At 39.3% G+C, this 19143-nt stretch overlaps 1 protein-coding gene across 9 annotated transcripts in view; it reads left to right on the forward strand.

Moving 5' to 3' along the window:
- The window catches only part of PIBF1 (progesterone immunomodulatory binding factor 1), a 234329-nt gene that overhangs the window by 208191 nt on the left and 6995 nt on the right, over positions 1-19143 (forward strand). For all 9 annotated transcript variants that reach the window (NR_146205.2, NR_146206.2, NM_001349655.2 and 6 more), the window contains one exon: positions 8499-8672. Coding sequence is in view for 7 of the 9 variants with exons in the window: in NM_001349655.2 (NP_001336584.1) it covers positions 8499-8672 (174 nt within the window). In the remaining 2 variants the exon portion in view is untranslated. Of the gene's footprint in view, positions 1-8498; positions 8673-19143 lie in introns of those variants that run through there.

Raw genomic sequence — 19143 nt, forward strand, 5'->3', positions numbered from 1 at the left:
AGCCTGGCCAACATGGTGAAAACCCCGTCTCTACTAAAAATACAAAAATTAGCCAGGTATGGTGGTGTGCACCTGTAGTCCCAGCTACTCAGGAGGCTGAGGCAGGAGAATCGCTTGAACTTGGGAGGCAGAGGTTGCAGTGAGCCAAGATCGTGCCACTACACTCCAGCCTGTGTGACAGAGCAAGACTCCATCTCTCCATCTCAAAAAAAAAAAAAAAAAACCTTTTAAATGAAGTTTAAAGCTGGGCATGGTGGCTCACACCTGTAATACCAGCACTTTGGAAGGCCAAGGTGGGTGGATCACCCAAGGTCAGGAGTTTGAGACCAGCCTGGCCAACTTGGTGAAACCCCATCTCTACTGAAAACACAAAAATTAGCCAGGTGTGGTGGCACATGCCTGTAATCCCAGCTACTCAGGAGACTGAGGTAGGAGAATCGTTTGAACCCGGGAGGTGGAGGTTGCAGTGAGCCAAGATCATGCCACTGCACTCCAGCCTGAGTGACAGAGCGAGACTCCATCTCAAATAAATTAATTAATTAATTTTAAATATCCAAAATATATATGTATTTGGTTTAAAACAAGACTGGTTTTTACCTTGTGTTACTTCAAGAGAGATGCACAGAGTTATATGACTTACTAGTCACGATGCGTTGTTACTCCCATATGAAAGCACTTCCATTTACCAGTGGAGCACATAGTTTGCATTATGCTTGTCAAAGCTATTTTCATCAAGAAATGCTATCTATGTGTCTCCTTGCCAACATCTTTGCAGAGTTTACAACTTTCAGCAATTTATTGGCATCAACTATGCAATACTGTTAAGCAGCTGCTGTACAGCTGAGCTGTTTTAATATGCCACCACTTATGCAAATAGTTAATATTAAATGGCCAAGATGCATGCTTTTGGATTCAAAAGAACAGTTTATCTCTCTCATAGAGATTGTTTATGCAGTCGTCATCATCATCATCATCATCTGGAAATTTCACAAGAACATCCTTGCCCTTAACTCTTCAATTTTGAAAAGTAATTATTATACTGCAACATAGTTTTTGTTATTTAGTTTTTAGTTTTAGTCCAAGTTTCAGTTGTATAATCAGATGCAATTCTTCATTTGTTAATGTTAATGAATGGTTCGTTCATTCATATAGTAATGGTAATTTTATTATGTATTTGATATACTAGAATTACAACATGTACTGTTAACTTTCTGCAAGTTAGTATAAAAGCATATCAGATTTTATCAGACTACGTTATAGAATAGTATTGAAACGTTTCAGCTGGCCAGATTTGGTGGCTCACACCTGTAATCCCAGCACTTTGGGAGCCTGAGGCAGGTGGATCACTTGAGCCTAGGAATTCAAGACCAGCCTGGGCAACACACCCCCATCTCAATTTTTTTTTTTTTTTTTTAGATGGAGTCTCGCTCTGTCGCCCAGGCTGGAGTGCAGTGGCACGATCTCGGCTCACTGCAACCTCCACCTCCCGGATTCATGCCATTCTCCTGCCTCAGCCTCCCGAGTAGTTGGGACTACAGGCGCCCGCCACCTCGCCTGGCTAATTTTTTGTGTTTTTAGTAGAGATGGGGTTTCACCATGTTAGCCAGGATGGTCTTGATCTCCTGACCTCGTGATCCACCCACCTTGGCCTCCCAAAGTGCTGGGATTACAGGCGTCAGCCACCGTGCCCAGCCCCCGTCTCAATTTTTTTAAAACTGTCTCAGCTGGGCACAGTGGCTCACACTTTAAATCCCAGAGCTTTGGTAAGCCAAGATGGGAAGATAGCTTAAGCTGGGGAGTTTGAGGCTGCAGTGAGCTACAGTCGCATCACTGCAGTCCAGCCTGGACATAAGAGTGAGACCCTGTCTCAGTCAATCGATCAATCAATGTCTTAAACAAGTGGTAAAAGGAAAAGAGGATTGAGGGAAGGCACTTTTACAGTTTTTGAATTTTACAATGAACAAATAATATTTCTATAAATTTAAAACAGAATTTAAAAAATATTTTGAAAATAACTTTCTAAATTAATGAAGCATCTGCCAGGCCTAGGCTAGAACTGCCAGAATGAAACGAAGCTCTAGATTAGAATACTCTACATTTTGTCATTTTGAGAAGGGAGCTTCCTTTCTGCCTGAGAACCTTAGGGTAAATCCTGCTACACAAATTATCGCATCCACGTACACAGAGATTGTACTCAATGGTGTCATTAAGATGAATAGCCCCACTTTGGGATGCCGAGGCAGGCAGATCACTTGAACTCACAAGTTTGAGACCAGCCTGCGCAACATGGTGAAACCCCATCTCCACAAAAATGAAAGATAAAAAAATAAAAAAATAATTAGCCAGGCATGGTGGTACATGCCTGGAGTTCCAGCTGCCAAGGAGGCTGAGGTGGGACCATTGCTTGAGCCTGGGAGGCAGAGGTGAGCCAAAATCGCACCATTGCACTCCAGCCTGGGTGATAGAGCCAGACCTTGTCTCAGAAAAAATAAAAAAGGCCATAAGGCAGAAAGAAAACATGTGAGCTGGTCCTTTATTCATAAATGGGATCACACAACCAAAAACTATCAGAAACTGGAAGAAAAAGCATAGAAGGAAAAAAATAGCAATAAACAGATAAACTGGGGGAAAAACAAATTCTGGAGCAGAAAAGAACTTCCACATTGTTATAATTAATTTCTTCAGAAAGATTTGGAAAAGTAATATTTCCCTAATATAAAAATCAGTAGGCCAGATGCAGTGGCTCACGCCTGTAATCCCCACATTTTGAGAGGCCAAGGCAAGTGGATTGCTTGAGTCCAGCCTGGGCAACATGGCGAAACCCCATTTATACAAAAAAATACAAAAATAATTAGCCGGGCATGGTTGGTGCATGCCTGTAGACCCAGCTACTCAGGAGGCTAAGGTGGGAGGATCGCTTGAGCCCAGGAGGCGGAGGTTGTAGTAAGCCAAGATTGTGCCACTGCACTCCAGCCTGGGCGACAGAGCAAGACCTGTCTCCAGAAAATAAAAATAAAAATAAAAATAAATTGTGATATTTTGAAGAATTGCGAAAGTCAAAATCATGAAGTAAATAAAGTATAAGTAAAACTGCCAATAGAGGGATATAGGAAAAGTTAAACCCTCCAAAAACTTAGAAAAAGGTAAAAAGATGGAAAGCCAAAGGACATAGAAGATTCTCGCAAGAAAGAAAATACCTACAAGGAAATAAAGAATCAGGATGGCATCCTGGCTAACACAGTGAAACCCTGACTCTACTAAAAATACAAAAAATTAGGTGGGCATGGTGACGGGCGCCTGTAGTCCCAGCTACTCGGGAGGCTGAGGCAGGGGAATGGCGTGAACCCAGGAGGCAGAGCTTGCAGTGAGCCAAGATCACGGCATTGCACTCTAGCCTGGGCGACAGAGCGAGACTCCATTTCAAAAAAAAAAAAAAAAAGAATCAGGATGGCATCAGAGTTTTCAGAAATTTGATTTTAGAAGACAGAGCAGTAATACCATGAAAGCATGTTTCTTTTACAGCACCAGCACCCTCTCAGAACATTAATAAATTGTATGCCATCAAATAACAAACAGAATGAGGGAGGAAGGAGTTCAAGACTAGCCTGGGTAACACAGTCTCTACAAAAAGTTAAAAAGTTAACTGGGGACAGTGGTAGGTGCATGTGGTGCCAGCGGCTCAGGAGGCTAAAGCAGTAGGATCCCTTGAGCCCCAGAGTGAAGGCACTGTGGTGAGCCATATTTGCACCACCGCACTACAGCCTGAGCAACAGAGCAAGAACCTGTCTCAAAAAAAAAAGAAAAAAAAAGGGAGAAAGGGAGGTAGAGGCCGGAGGCGGGGAAGGGAGAGAAAGAGAGGGAAGTGGAAGAAATAGTGGAACTTGCCAAAGTGTACAATAAAAAGAAATTTCAGTCTTAAAAGCAGTCAGTACAGAATTAATCTCAGCAAACAACACGATTAAGAAGCTAGATAATATTAGGTAATAAGGAAAAAGGCGTACATTGTTTCTATCAATGAGAAAACAAAAGGGCAGAAACTCTGAAAAGAGGGGAAAAAAATATTTGTTGGAAAGTTGAAGTACAAATAGGAACCTAAATCAATGGCATGATTTTTGAGCAGTAGATACAGTATAAGAAAAAGAATCCAGTCAAACTTAGTACTTAAAACATTCTTCTTTGAGCATCACAGTTTCCTTTTCTGTAGTCACATTCTCTGCAATAAACAATATTTACAAATAATGAGGCAATGCTGCAAATAAACCCACTGACCAATCAGAAAAATGATAGTTATAGAAGAGGAAAGTAGAATCAAAAGGCAGGGAGATGAGATGCCAAACTCAAATGCAAACAATGAGAGCGGAATCTGAAATACGAGATGAAGCCAATACCCAGAAGCCAGACACAGGATAAGAACCGAACCAGGTTAGAAGCAAAGCAGAGGGCTTCAAAATGATTTCATCTTACCAAAGGATTTCTCTTCGTAGTGACAAAAATGTTTTCTAATTATTGCCTGTTATGTTGGATTGTTTCCTGTTTGCTTTGTCAGTTTGTGAATTGGGATCTCATGAATCATGATCATTTCATTGTAATAGTAGCATCAACTAGGATAGGACAATTTATGTCAAAAAGGTCGGTGTAAGACATATTCAAATACTTTCATGGCTGTGAACACTTAATATAATAAAGAGGTTCTTGCGGACAGGTGCGGTGGCTCACACCTGTAATCCCAGCATTTTGGGAGGCTGAGGTGGGTGAATCATGAGGTCAGGAGTTCAAGACCAGCCTGGCCAAGATGGTGAAACCCCGTCTCTACTAAAAATAACAAAAAATTAGCCGGGCATGGTAGTGGGCACCTGTAATCCCAGCTACTTGGGAGACTGAAGCAGAGAATTGCTTGAACCTGGGAGGCAGAGGTTGCAGTGAGCCGAGATCACACCACTGCACTCCAACCTGGGCGACAGAATGAGACTCCGTCTCAAAAAAAAAAAAAAAAAGTTCTTTCTAATTTTGTTTTCCCTTCAGCATGATCCCACGCCTATCTCCAAGAATACAGCCAGAAAAATACATCATTCATTAAAGAGTAAAACATTAAAACAGTGCGACATGGGTGCATAAATAGACAGACTGTAGAAACAGAGTTTTAAAGTCCATAAATAAATAATATACTTACAGCAGTTTAGTACATTATAAAGATGGCATCAGTGGGGGAAAAAATGGTCTCTTCAGTACATGATGTTGTTATAGGAGAGCCATCTTGAGGGGACAGATGTTGTATTCATATGTTTTACCATAAGCCAGGATAAACTTTAAACCAATCAAAGATCTATATGTTTGAAAAAGAAAAGAGGCTGGGCACAGTGACTCACGCCTGTAATCCCAGCACTTTGGGAGGCCGAGGCGAGTGGATCACGAGGTCAGGACTTCAAGACCAGCCTGGCCAAGATGGTGAAACCCCGTCTCTATTAAAAATACAAAAATTAGCTGAGCGTGGTTGTGGGTGCTTGTAATCCTAGCTACTCTGGAGGCTGAGGCAGAGAATTGCTTGAACCTGGGAGGCGGAGATTGCAGTGAGCCGAGATCTTGCCACTGCACTCCAGCCTGGATGACAGAGCGAGACTCCATCTCAAAAAAAAAAAGAAAAGAAAAACCACAAAAGTAACTTAAGAAAATATAGGAAAAAAACATGGAGAAGACCACAGAAGAAAAGATTGACATATTCTGCTACATCACAATCAAATGTTCTTCATAACAAAAAAAAAAAAGCGGGGGGGGGGGGTCATAAACAAAGTCAAGTAAGAGGTAAACTGGAAAAATTGCCACTCATATTAAAGACAAAGGGCTAATTTCCCTAACATATAAAGAGCTCCTTGAAATGTATAAGAAAATGACCACTCAGTAGAAAAATGGGCCAAGGCAATCAACTGAAAAAAAACCTTCAATATATTAAAAAAAAAAAAAAACTGCTCAACTTCACTGTAAAAGGAATGCAAAATAAACATACACAAACCCTTATCAGACTGGCAAAAATCCTAAAAGGTAACAGAAGCTTACATTTTATCAATTATAAAACTAAAGCTCATTGAACTAGATTAGGCAGCCTAAGTTTAAACAATAATAATGTCAAGAATAGATGTGTCGTTTGCTAATAGCTTTATACTAAAATAGTACCACTACATGTGCTTAGCCAGGTGCAGTGGCTCATGCCTATAATCCCAGCACTTTGGGAGGCCAAGGCTGGAGAATCACTTAAGGCCAGGAGTGAGAGACCAGCCTGAGCAACATAGTAAGACCTCATCTCTACCAAAAATTTAAAAATTAGCTGGGTGTGGGGGAATGCCCCTGTAGTCCTAGCTACTCAGGAGGCTGAGGCGGTAGGATGGTTTGAATGAACTGTGATCACACCATAGCACTCTAGCATGGACAACAGAGCAAGACCCTGTCTCTAAAAAAAAAAAAATTGAAGTGGAATTTTCTTGGTTCAAATTTACCATCGATATAAGTTGGATCATTATATAAGCCAAACATAATAAAATTGAAAATGTGTTCTAAATGTTATTTGGGTACCCACTGTAGCTGTATTATCCTAATAAGAATTTTACAGAATTTTGCTGATCTTAAAGTGTTCTTTGCCTGGATTTCAGAAACTGCTAATATTTTTTGTACAGTCACATTAACGAAAGTGGTACTGTGACAACACCCCAAACTGGGGTGATCTTAGGATAAAGCAAAGATGTGAATTTCCCTTCTAATCTCCTGACCACTAAACCCCCCTTTACCTTATTTATCTGTAGAATAGTGCTAGATTGTTTTGGAGGGGATTTTTGCTCTTATTTTATCTTCATGCCAAAGATAGAAAAGTTGTGGCTAATAAAGAGATGTTCTTTCAGATAGAAAGTTTTTCTTTTCATAGGCTTTCCCTTCTACTTATCTTGGTAAGTAGAACAGGAGCTGAAATCTACCATAACACCATACCCATTTGACATCAAATCAATAATTATATACTTCACCATAGTGGAGCATATAAATGAAACAACATAATCTTGAAAGCAAAAAGAGTCCCCAAATGGCCCAGATAATCATATATCAGATTGGCAATGTCTGCAAGTATATGCATTCTCATGTACATTGGCCAAGCCAGGCCCACTACTGCAGAAAGGAGAAAGGATTCTGACACCATTTCTTCTGACACGTCTCGCAACCCTAAAATCTATTAAGGTTATATGGCTTAAACTCAGCAACACTGCTTTAAAATACTCACTCAAGTTAGATGGTTCTAAATAGAACTAATGACAGCCAGAAGAGAAAGGCCTGTAGGAACTTGCTGTGACACAGAGCTGGTGTCTATAAACAGATTAGTAGAAGAGAGCAGAACATTGTTCTATCACCATAACTTTCGTGTTTTGGCATGAAGATACAATAAGATAATAGGAAAAAATTACCTGTTACATAGCCTACCACTGTTCTGTTCTGATAAATAAAGATTAAGAAGAGTTTAGCCTGTCATCTCTCCATATACTTGTATATGATGTATCAATTTAGTAATTAATCATAAATACCCACTAGTGTTATGTACTAAAGATTTGTCTATGGATATGAAAGACAAATACACTTGGGAGCAAGAACGGGTGAAATTTTTGATCTCTTCAAAAAGTTCATCACAATTAATTCTTAGTTCAAAGGGCAACTGAAGCCAACCCCACTTATCATTTGTAAAAGGATAAGGGATAATACAGCTAAAGAAATCCTGAATCTGTATTAAACTTACTGTTTAACTGCTGACTAGTAGCCAAGATTGGATTCTTTTTCTCTACCATCTTTATATAAGAATTCAAAGGAAATGCGACAGTTTAAAAGAAGAAGAGAAAAAGTTAAATGCTTAAATAGTCTACTCAGCGAATATATGTGGAGCATCTACAGTGGAAGGTAGCTATGCCAGTGGTTCCCAAATTTGTCTGTCTATTAGAATCACTTGAGATCTTCAAAAATTCCAAAATACAAAAAAATTAGCTGGGCGTGGTGGCATGCGCCTGTAGTCCCAGCTACTCAGGCACTGAGGCAGGAGGATGGCTTGAGCCCAGGAGGTAGAGGCTGCAGTGAGCCGAGACCACACCACTGCACTCCAGCCTGGGTGACAGTGAGATCCTATCTAAAAAAAAAAAAAAATTCCAAAGCCCAGGCCACACCACATCAATTATCTCACAGTCTCTGGGGTTGGGACACAGTCATCACTGGCAATATTTGAAGCTCCACAGGTGATTTCAGTGTGCAGAAAAACGTGGAAACCACTAGACTATAGAATGTTGTAATTGTCAGTTATATTAAATGAGTATTAATGATCAAAAGATTCATGTGCATGATTCTAATTACTATTTTATTTTCACAACTTATGTGTGTAGTATAATTGTTTCTTCTACTTAAAAATATTTTAATATTAATCATTATTAGTCTGCTTGCTAAAATCACTCTTGCTACTTTCTTCTGTTTTCATATATCAACAGGAATTGGCAGCAATGAAACAGATTCTCGTTAAGATGCATAGTAAACATTCTGAGAACAGCTTACTTCTCACTAAAACAGAACCAAAACATGTGACAGAAAATCAGAAATCAAAGACTTTGAATGTGCCTAAAGAGCATGAAGACAATATATTTACACCTAAACCAACACTCTTTGTAAGTACAATTTTTAAAACTCATAATTTTAATATTCCTGATTCTTACTAAATGTATTTTAGTTAATTTTTTCCTTTTACATTTATGAAATGAGTAGATTCCACAAATATGTTTCATGAAAAGACCTTGAAGGATTTGCATTAATCCATTTTCTAAATGTGTATATTACCTATCTTATAGATGATAGTATATTTTACTGTAATTCCTCATAAAGTGTGAAATCAATTAACATAAACTGAAATGCATTGTTAGCTAAAAATATATGTGCACAGAAATTAAAGAAAAAGAAATAAGAAAAATTTGGATTAAAAGGTAAAATACCAAAAATATGTACAGTTATTATGTGCCAATTTTTAAAAATAGAGAAAATAAATTAGGAAATATTGAAAACTATATATTTTAACAAATAATAAGAATCAAGATTAAAAGGCAAGAGAATTAAAATAGGAGTAACATTATTAAATATTCCATTTTACTTCAAATGGTTTCTCAATCATGCTTTCATTTCTCAGGAGAAACATGATTTTTATCTGCTAAACATAGAGACTCAAAACCAGAAAGATTTTCTCTGATATTCTGATTCAGTGAGTCCCCAGAATCTTAATTTTTTTAACTCCCAAGTTGAATATAATAGTCAAATATGAGAACTTCTGATCTCAGTCATTTTATTATACATGCAGATAATGCTACTGAAGATTAATAGGATGAAAGAGATTTTTTAGTGATTATATAATTCAACCTCCCTTTTTAAAAAAATGAAAGTTGCAGTTTAGATCAAATAAGAGACAATTGGGCAGACATGGTGGCTCACACCTCTAATCCCAGCACTTTGGGAGGCCAAAGTGGGAGGATCACCTGAGGTCAGGAGTTCAAGACCAGGCTGGCCAACATGGTGAAACCCTATCCCTACTAAAAATACAAAAATTACCCGGGTGTGGTGGCACACGCCTGTAGTCCCAGCTACTTGGGAGACAGGCAGGAGAATTGTCGGTGCGATGGCACCACTGCATTCACCACCTTGGCGAGAGAGTGAAACTCTGCCTCAAAAAATAAAATAAAATAAAATAAGGGACAATTATTTTAAGGATACGTGTGGCAGTAATGTAGACTAAGCTGACAGGCGGGAGAAAACAGGATGGCTCAGTTGACTAGCCTGGACACAAGGCGGCTGAGTCCATGCATCTTTTCCTCTGTAGTACATCAGCTTCTCTTTGTTTCTCCTCTAGTTTCTGCTTACTCATGTTTTCCACTTCCTCATTAACTTGCTCACAGCCCTTTGTCTTGAAACAGGTTTCTGTACATCCTTTCTGCATCTACTCTCTTATAATGTAGTTCTCCCTGTATTTTCCAAGACTAACAATCTAATTGGCATAGCTAATTCTTGTTGGGTGATACCCCTTTTTGGCAAGACTTCCTAAGCTTATTACCCAGCCTACAGAATGGCTGCCCTTAATGGTGAGCAGGAGTCACACAGTTCCAAATACAGCTGCCGAGGACTGTTTATTAAGGGCTATGGCTAGGCAGGTTTTGCTCAGAGAGTGGGCAGAGATTGTGGCAGACACTATGCTGTGTCTATTATAATCTATAGGAAGAAAGCAGATTGAATACATACACATTAATGGGAAATAGGGTCAGATGAAAACCACAAGATACAGCTGAATACTTAAAGCCTGTCAGCACTCTCTGATCTGCCTTTCTGATCCTACTCTGCTCCAGGCAGTGGCACTATTCCTTCTGACCCTGACCTTCTGCATTTCTAGCTTTAGCTTGGTAACCTGATTGTGATTTTCTGGAATACCGGCTATAATCAATCAGTACATGAGTAACAATAAGATTTCCCCAGTACCTCCAGATAAGGTTATGCAGTGATGATAAAATTAAGAAGATTCAATATTAGTTGGGTAGTTCTTCCTTCCTTATTTTTGCTTATCTGGATTTTCTATTTTATTCTACAATAAAATTCTTTTTAAATAATAATAAGGGAAATTTTTTTCAAAAGAGGTACAAGCTCAGCTATGTCCTAATGAAAACTGAGAGGTAATACTACAAACAAGTCAAATCAAAGACTGTAAGCTAATGCAGAATTAGTAAGGTGAACCGACTAGATAACCTGGGGCAAATCATTAAATGTTCTCAATGTGTTCTTATCTATAAAATTAAGTGGGAGGTTATAATGAAATGAGTTCTGGACTCCTTTTATTCTAGCATGCTATGATTCTCTTCAGGCATCATAATTTTTAGTTATTCTTTTGAATATTTTCAATTTTCCATAAGAATACTTTTTTATATTTTCTCTGAACTTGTTGATAAGGAATTTACCACGCTAATATTTGAAGTAAGAGCTAATCATTTTATAATCTCATGGTTTTATACCTAAAATGAAAACATTTCTAAATCCAGATCCTTTGGCTGAAAGTATTTGCTATAGGTATTTTCCCCTGATAGTAAATTCAGTGATGGATGGGTGGATGGATGAGCGTTTCCATATGCATTGACAATATGAGGCGAGCCACACAAAACTACTGTTAACTGGGTAATGGAGTGGGAGCAGTGCTGTGACGCAGAGGAGGAGAAATAAGAGCTTGACTTTTTTTTTTTTTTTTTTGACACTTAGGTCTTCTTCTGAAGACTTTTTTTTTTTTTGGAGATGGAGTCTCTCACTCTGTCGCCCAGGCTGGAGTGCAGTGGCGTGATCTCAGCTTACTGCAACCTCTGCCTCCCAGGTTCAAGTGATTCTCCTGCCTCATCCTCCTGAGTAGCTGGGATTACAGGCATGTGCCACAACGCCCAGCTGATTTTTGTATTTTCAGTAGAGGCAAGGTTTCACCATGTTGGTCAGGCTGGTCTCAAACTCCTGACCTCGTGATCTGCCCACCTCGGCTTCCCAAAGTGTTGGGATTACAGGCGTGAGCCACAGCACCTGACAAGACTTTTTTTAATGTGCTTTTTTATATGTATACAAATGTTTTACAGTGTACAAGTGATATTTACATCTGAAGGCAACCTCAAAATTCCCTTTTTTAGAAAAGCTCTGGCCTTTGAAATGACATATGTGACAGAGTCATTGTTCAGGCACTTAGTGTACCAACAAAAACTAATTGAACCACAGAATGTAAGTGCCTTAAGGACAGAAACTGTATTCCTTTTGTTTTGCATAGCATCTGAACAAAGCAGATACTCAATAAATATTTGCTGAAGAGAAAAAAAGGAGTTATTTGTCTCCCCAGTTTAGTTATGTTCTTAGCTGTTAAAACTCTAAACTGGGTGGGGAACTTTAATGTTAAAGTAAACTACAGGGAGAATGAAAGCTTCACCTCCCATGACTCTAGTTAGTGCTACTTCTGCAACAGGCAACTTAAGTCTTCTTTATTCAGAAACACCCAGTTCATTCCCACTAATCACCTACTTTCACTCTTAAGGTAGCTTTTTGCTGTGCTATCCCTTTTTTCCCAGCCTCACTTATCTCTTTCTTAGAAAAACCTAGAGCTATTCTAATCTGATTTAGAACAACTTTCCTCTTTCCTTCCTGAGCAGTATGGGACTCTTTTGCTGCTTTTCTGCTGCCATCCTATTCGAAAATAGAATTTATACTCAGGATTCACATCATTGTCATTATTTTCTCAATACCTTATTAAAAATGCAGATACTAGCAACTCTACTTTTAGTCTTTTCACCAAGTAGATTGTAAGCATTAAAACAAAAAAGAGCTTGGGCGCAGTGGCTCACACCTGTAATCCCAGCACTTTGAGAGGCCGAGGCAGACGGATCACCTGAGGTAAGGAGTTCGAGACCAGCCTGGCCAACATACTGAAATCCCGTCTCTACTAAAAATACCAAAATTATTCAGGTGTGGTGGTGCATGCCTGTAGTCCCAGCTACCTGGGAGGCTGAGGCAGGAGAATCACTTGGACCTGGGAGGTGGAGGTTGCATGAGCCAAGATCATGCCTCCACACTCCAGCCTGGACGACACAGCAAGACTCTGGTCTCAAAAAAAAAAAAAAAAAAAAAAAAGCCTTAGGCTCTAAGTATGGTAGCAAACAATACGATTGTGCACCTCCAGTGTATAGTGTGTGAAGTGTCTGATTTTTGGTGAGTTTACGACGTAGTTCAGGCCTTGACTTACATTTGTTATCTCATTGGCTAGCATATGTTGTATAGATAGATTAAGTTTATATAATTGATACATAAGTGGTTATATGAACGACATGATTCCCTAGAAGAGCTTTGGAAAGCTATATGTCATCTGGAAAGAAAAAAAAATTTTTTTTTTTTTTGAGACAGAGTCTCACGCTGTCGCCCAAGCTAGAGGGCAGTGGCATAGTCTTGGCTCACTGCAACCTCCGCCTCCTGGGTTCAAGCAGTTCTCTTGCCTCAGCCTCCTGAGCAGTTGGGATTACAGGCACATGCCACCATGCCCCGCTAATTTTTTGTATTTTTTTGTAGAGACGGGGTTTCACCATGTTGGCCAGGCTGGTCTCCAAACTCCTGACCTCAGATGATTCACCCACCTTGGCCTCCCAAAGTGCTGGGATTACAGGTGTGAGCCACCGCACCTGGCCTGGAAGGAAAATTAGTGTAGTCAATTCAAGAAGCATTTACTGACTATATGCAAGAGCCTGTGATGATCATTAAGACAGCATCAGCATTAAAACTGCTGCTCCTATAGGATCAAGCTTAGTAAACAATAATATAAGGCAAAATCAGTTAGCCTACTTTTTTTGTTTTATTTTTGAGACACGGTCTTGCTCTGTCACCTAGGCTGGAGTGCAGTGGCATGAACACGGCTCACTGCAGCCTCAATCTCCCAGGCTCAAGTGATCCTCCCAACTCAGCCTCCCAAATAGCTGAGACCACATGTGCACACCACCACACCCAGCTATTTTTCTTTATTTTTTGTAGAGACAGGGTCTCACTGCATTGCTCAGGCTGGTCTTGAACTCCTGGGCTCAAGCAATCCTCCCACCATGGCTATAATCTCAAAGTGCTGGGATTATAGTCATCAGCCACTGCACCTGGCCTGGGTATCCTACTTTAAAGGAAATACAAATTGCTATGAAAATTCAGAGAAAGAATAGACACTGTGGTTTTGGAGGACTCTAGGTTGCCTTGTCAGAAAGGAAGTATTTGAGCTTGGCTTTAAAGAATGCATGGATTTTGACAAGTGAAGATGAGCATTATTTAGAAATTCCAAGAGCAAAGAAAATATGATATTGGCCAGGCGCGGTGGCTCACGCCTGTACTCCCAACACTTTGGGAGGCCGAGGTGGGCGGCTCACCTGAGATCAGGAGTTTGAGACCATCCTGGCCAACATGGTGAAACCTCATCTCTACTAAAAATACAAAAATTAGCCAGGTGTGGTGGCAGGCACCCGTAATCCCAGCTACTCAGGAGGCTGAGACAAGTGAATCACTTGAACCCAGGAGGCGGAGGTTGCATTGAGCCGAGATTGTGCCACTGCACTGCAGCCTGTGTGAAGAGCGAGATTCTGTCTCAAAAAAAAAAAAAAAGAAAGAAAAGAAAATGTGATATTCACAAAATATTTTCTAACTTGTGCTCCTTTTTAATTGTTGAAGAATAGGATGTCTAATATGTATTTTCTATATCTAGACTTTATTCCTTTCTTACTATATTCTTACGTCTGACTTTGGCCAATTCACTATCTGTTAATCCTTTCCCATAGTACAAAAGGGAAATAAAAGTAGATAGGTTATACCTAGTCATATTAATAGAGACAGAAAGTAGAGTGGTGGTTGTCAGGGGCTAGGGGGTATGGGGATTTATTGTTTAACAAGTAGAGAGTTTCAGTCAAGCAAGATGAAAAGAGTTCTATGGATGGACAGTAGTGATAGTTGCATCGTAATGTGAATGTAAGTAATACCACTGATATGTACATTTAAAAATGGTTGGCCGGGCACTGTGGCTCACACCTGTAATCCCAGCACTTTGGGAGGCCAAGGTGTGGGGATCACCTGAGATCAGGAGTTGGAGACCAGCCTGACCAACATGGAGAAATCCCGTCTCTACTAAAAATACAAAAATTAGCCAAGCGTGGTGGTGCATGCCTGTAATCCCGAGGCTGAGGCAGGAGAATCACTTGAACCTGGGAGGGGGAGGTTGTGATGAGCCGAGATCACGTCGTTGCACTCTAGCCTGGGCAACAAGAGTGAAACTCCATCTCAAATAAAAATAAAAATAGTTAATGGGATAAATCTTATGTTATATGTATTTTACCACAATCTTCTTTTTAAAAACTTTTTAAAGCCTGGGCAAAAACTTTTGTGAGATCCTACCTTTACCAAAAAAAAAAAAAAAATTTTTTTTTTAAATTAGCCAGGCATGGTGGTATGTGCCTATGATGCTAAGCTACTTGGGAGTCTGAGGTGGGAGGATCACATGAGCCCAGGAGGTTGGGGCTGCAGTGAGCCATGTTCACGCCACTGCCCTCAACCCTGGATGGCAGAACAAGACCCTGTCTCAAAATAATATATATAAAATGATGAAATATAAAATAAAAAATAAATTTAAATTTTTAATTTAATTTAAAAATTGTAAGTAGGTTACAAAAATAATTTTTCTCATTTATTCATGAGGGAAAGTTTATAATTTTATCAAAAATGGAACGTAGCAGTTATTTATAATATAGTAATATAATGAGTACAATTGGTTGTGTTTAGACAAGTGACAAGGATGCCACACTAGGGTAGCGTCATCACAGAATCATGTCCTAACACTGTGCCTCCCAACATTTTTTATAACACACATGGAAAATTATAATATTTCTATGGCACAACAGGATAACTGAACTTGCTGGTAGATTGAAGGGACTCCAGCCACCCCAGGCACTGGGGACTGAGGAGAACAAAAGCTCCACATACCTGTAACACTTCTGTGTCATATTTGTGTTTAGAAGTTCTGGTTTCACTTTTTTTTTTTTTTTTTTGAAATGGAGTCTTGCTCTGTCGCCCAGGCTGGAGTGCAATGGTGCAAACTCGGCTCACTGCAACCTCCGTCTCCTGGGTTCAAGCAATTCTCCCACCTCAGCCTCCTGAGTAGCTGGGATTACAGGGACGCACCACCATGCCCAATAATTTTTGTGTTTTTAGTAAAGACGGGGTTTCACCATATTGGCCATGCTGGTCTCGAACTCTTGACCTCAAGTGATCTGCCCACCTCGGCCTCCCAAAGTGCTGGGATTACAGGCATAAGCCACCACGCCTGGCCCGGTCTCACTTTTTTATGTTGAATGTAGACTCATCTCACCAAAGTATGACCGGACCTCAAAATATCTAGCTGTTTACATATACATTTTTAAATATTCATTTTTTAATTTCTAGTGTCAGGAACACTAATTGTAACCTCTTCCTGATGTTATTTAATTTAGCTGGTGAGCTAAACTAGAAATCAGGAATTTTTTGGTGAGCATGGAACGAAGCTGACTGATCTCAGACAGCTTCACATTTTGTTAGTGATAAAGCCAGATCAACTGTCTTAAACTCACTTAAGTTGGGCCCTGCCTATGAGGACTTCTCAATATTTACTTATTTGATTTCCAGTTTATATCTTATTTGGAAAACAAAGTAATGATATCTACCAGACATAGATTTTTTTTCCTTAGAGAAGTGGTACTGGTTAAACACTAATAGATTCTTAATTTCTAGCTCTTTTTTTAGATTACAGGAGTAATCTGCCAGGCTTACTATGTCTGCATTTATCAGTCATCATTCTTTCTAATTTTAACTAACCCTCTCAATGGGTTATAATCCCCATGTTATATATTAACGTTTTAGCTGGCTAATTCTGGGTGACACAGAAGTATCTATCTTATCAGTTATTTGTTTCCAAAATCACCTTGTAACATAGTAAATTACTTCTGGTAAGTTTCCAGTTAGTCTTGTCATTTGTTTCTGCAATGGCTTTGTGCTCTCTTTCCTAAATCTGGAATATAGTATACTTTAGGGCCTGTTAATACTCCACTAACAATTTAAGGTTTTTATTAATTTGTATACATATATATATATATAATGTGTATGTAAAATATATATGCATATATAGTTTATATATATCTGTAAAGCACTTCATATTATGAAGCCTATAAGCCTTATATTTAAAATAAGGACCCTACTCAGTTAAATGGTTAATCCCATTAATACCTGAAGCAGAATGTCAAATTTTGTCATATAAAGCACCATCTTATGGATATAAAGGGAAGTAACTTTAATAAAATAGAAAAAAGAAACACTGCTGATCAAAGAGCTAAAAGAATGGAATTATCAAAATAAAAAGCAGTTAATTTTTGTTTTTGTTTTTTTTTTTTTTTGAGATGGAGTCTCACTCTGTCACCCAGGCTGGAGTGCAGTGGCGCAATCTTGGCTGACTGCAGCCTCCACCTCCTGGGTTCAAGCAGTTCTCCAAAAATCAGTTAATTATACATCTGAATTATTTTGCTGTGCCCATTTTAACAATCAGTTACCAAGAGCCAGCAAACTCTATTGTATATTCTTTGTTCGTTTGTTTTTTACCTTTTAAACTAGGCCAGGCGCAGTGGCTCACGCCTGTAATCCCAGCACTTTGGGAGGCCAAGGCGGGCAGATCACCTCAGGTCGAGAGTTCAAGACCAGCCTGACCAACATGGAGAAACCCCATCTCTACTAAAAATACAAAATTAGCCGGGCGTGGTGGCGCACGCCTGTAATCCTAGCTACTCGGGAGGCTGAGGCAGGAGAATCGCTTGAACCCAAGAGGCAGAGGTTGCAGTGAGACAAGATCGCACTGTTGCACTCCAGCCTGGGCAACAAGAGCCAAACTCCATCTCAAAAAAAAAAAAAAAAATGTCAAAACCATTCTTAGCATGCACCCCATACAAGAACAGACCATGGACCATAGTTTACTGATCCATGATCTATCTCAGGAGTTGATAAAAGCTTAGAAACTTCCAGTGTTTGGAACAGGGCTATCACTAATGGCTAGCACATTACTGACTAAAATATCTGGAAATGAAGAATATACATTTTATGAAAATCAGAAATAAACTTTTCAGAAGCAGTATTATCTACTTGGAATCTGTTCAAATTTTGGTAGTGATGAGACTTACATACTAATGTAGGTGAGAAATCACTCTGACATACTCTATGCTAATGTAATTAACAGAGAACCTGAATTTCAGAGAATAATATAACCGAAGGAAAAAGTTCACCAATCGAAGGATTGAAAATATCTTTGAATGATATAAGTAAATTTGAGTTCATACAGCAAAATATGCTGTTTCCATGCCTTACTGGTTATTTACCATTTCCACTCAAAAATCAGGCTGTTGCTTAGAATCACAAGTACTACCCCTGATGCTTGTAAAGGGTGATGTTGCCTGATTAGTTAAAAGCATATTATTGCATTACTGTAGTAGAATTCTCTTTTGTCTTGCATAGTAGAAAGGCTTGAATAGACTCACATGAAACTTTATGCCCAGACTTAAATAGAACTGAAAGGCTTCTGTCACAGCAGACCCAAACATTCATTCATTCATTGAAAAATGTTTATTGAGCACTTACTTTGTGCCAAGTACTATTCCAAGCAGTAGAGATATAAATAATTCCTGCCTCTGTGGATCTTACATTCATGGATAGAGATAGACTATAAACCGACAAACAAAAAAATAAATTGAATAAGATGTGAAAACATGACAAATGCTATGGAGAAAATGTATGAGGTAACTGAGAAGTCCTCGATTTGCCCACTTTGCAAAATTAATAAATGGCTAGAACCTGTGCTTTAACCACTGTACTATACGGTGCTCAAACCACAAAAATCAAAGAAGGCATGACATCGAACACCTACTGCTGGCGAGACACTTCCCTGCATGCTGAAGATACAACATGAGATAAGATAAATGGTATAAACTAAGAGTATAAGAGTCAGCATCTTTAGGAATTGTGTCCCACTGCTAGTTCAGCAGCTTTAGCAAATTGTTCAGTCTCTCACATACAGGCCTGGAGATAACTATTTCAGGACAAGTATGTGGCCCTATGAAGTCATCAGGAACCTAGATTCCCTCTTCCTTTCTCTTCAACCATCCTTAGAGTGTGGCATCTGTTCTTAGAATCACAATATGGTTGCTCTGGCCTCAGCCATCATGTCTGCATTTTAAGCGGGAAGCGAGAAAAAGGGAGGAAAATAGTCTCCCTTTCCAAAGGAGTTTTTCCCTAAGTCCTACCCAACATCTTCAGCTTATATCCCATTGGCCAGAACTTAGTCGTGTGGCCACACCTAGCAGCAAGGAAGGCTGATAAATGTTTTATACAGGGTGAATCTATTGCTTTACTGATAAAATCAGAGTTCTGTTATTAAGAAGGGTGAAATAGATATAGGCTAGACAGCCAGCAACCTCTGCACTTGATCTCAGCCAAAAGGTCGAGGCGTGATCCCAGCAGCCTCTGTAACAGGGTTTGATTCATTTTTATATCCCCAGAACCTAA

This window comes from Homo sapiens, chromosome 13, assembly GCF_000001405.40.
Source record: "Homo sapiens chromosome 13, GRCh38.p14 Primary Assembly".
In the NCBI taxonomy this organism is placed as follows: Eukaryota; Metazoa; Chordata; class Mammalia; order Primates; family Hominidae; genus Homo; species Homo sapiens.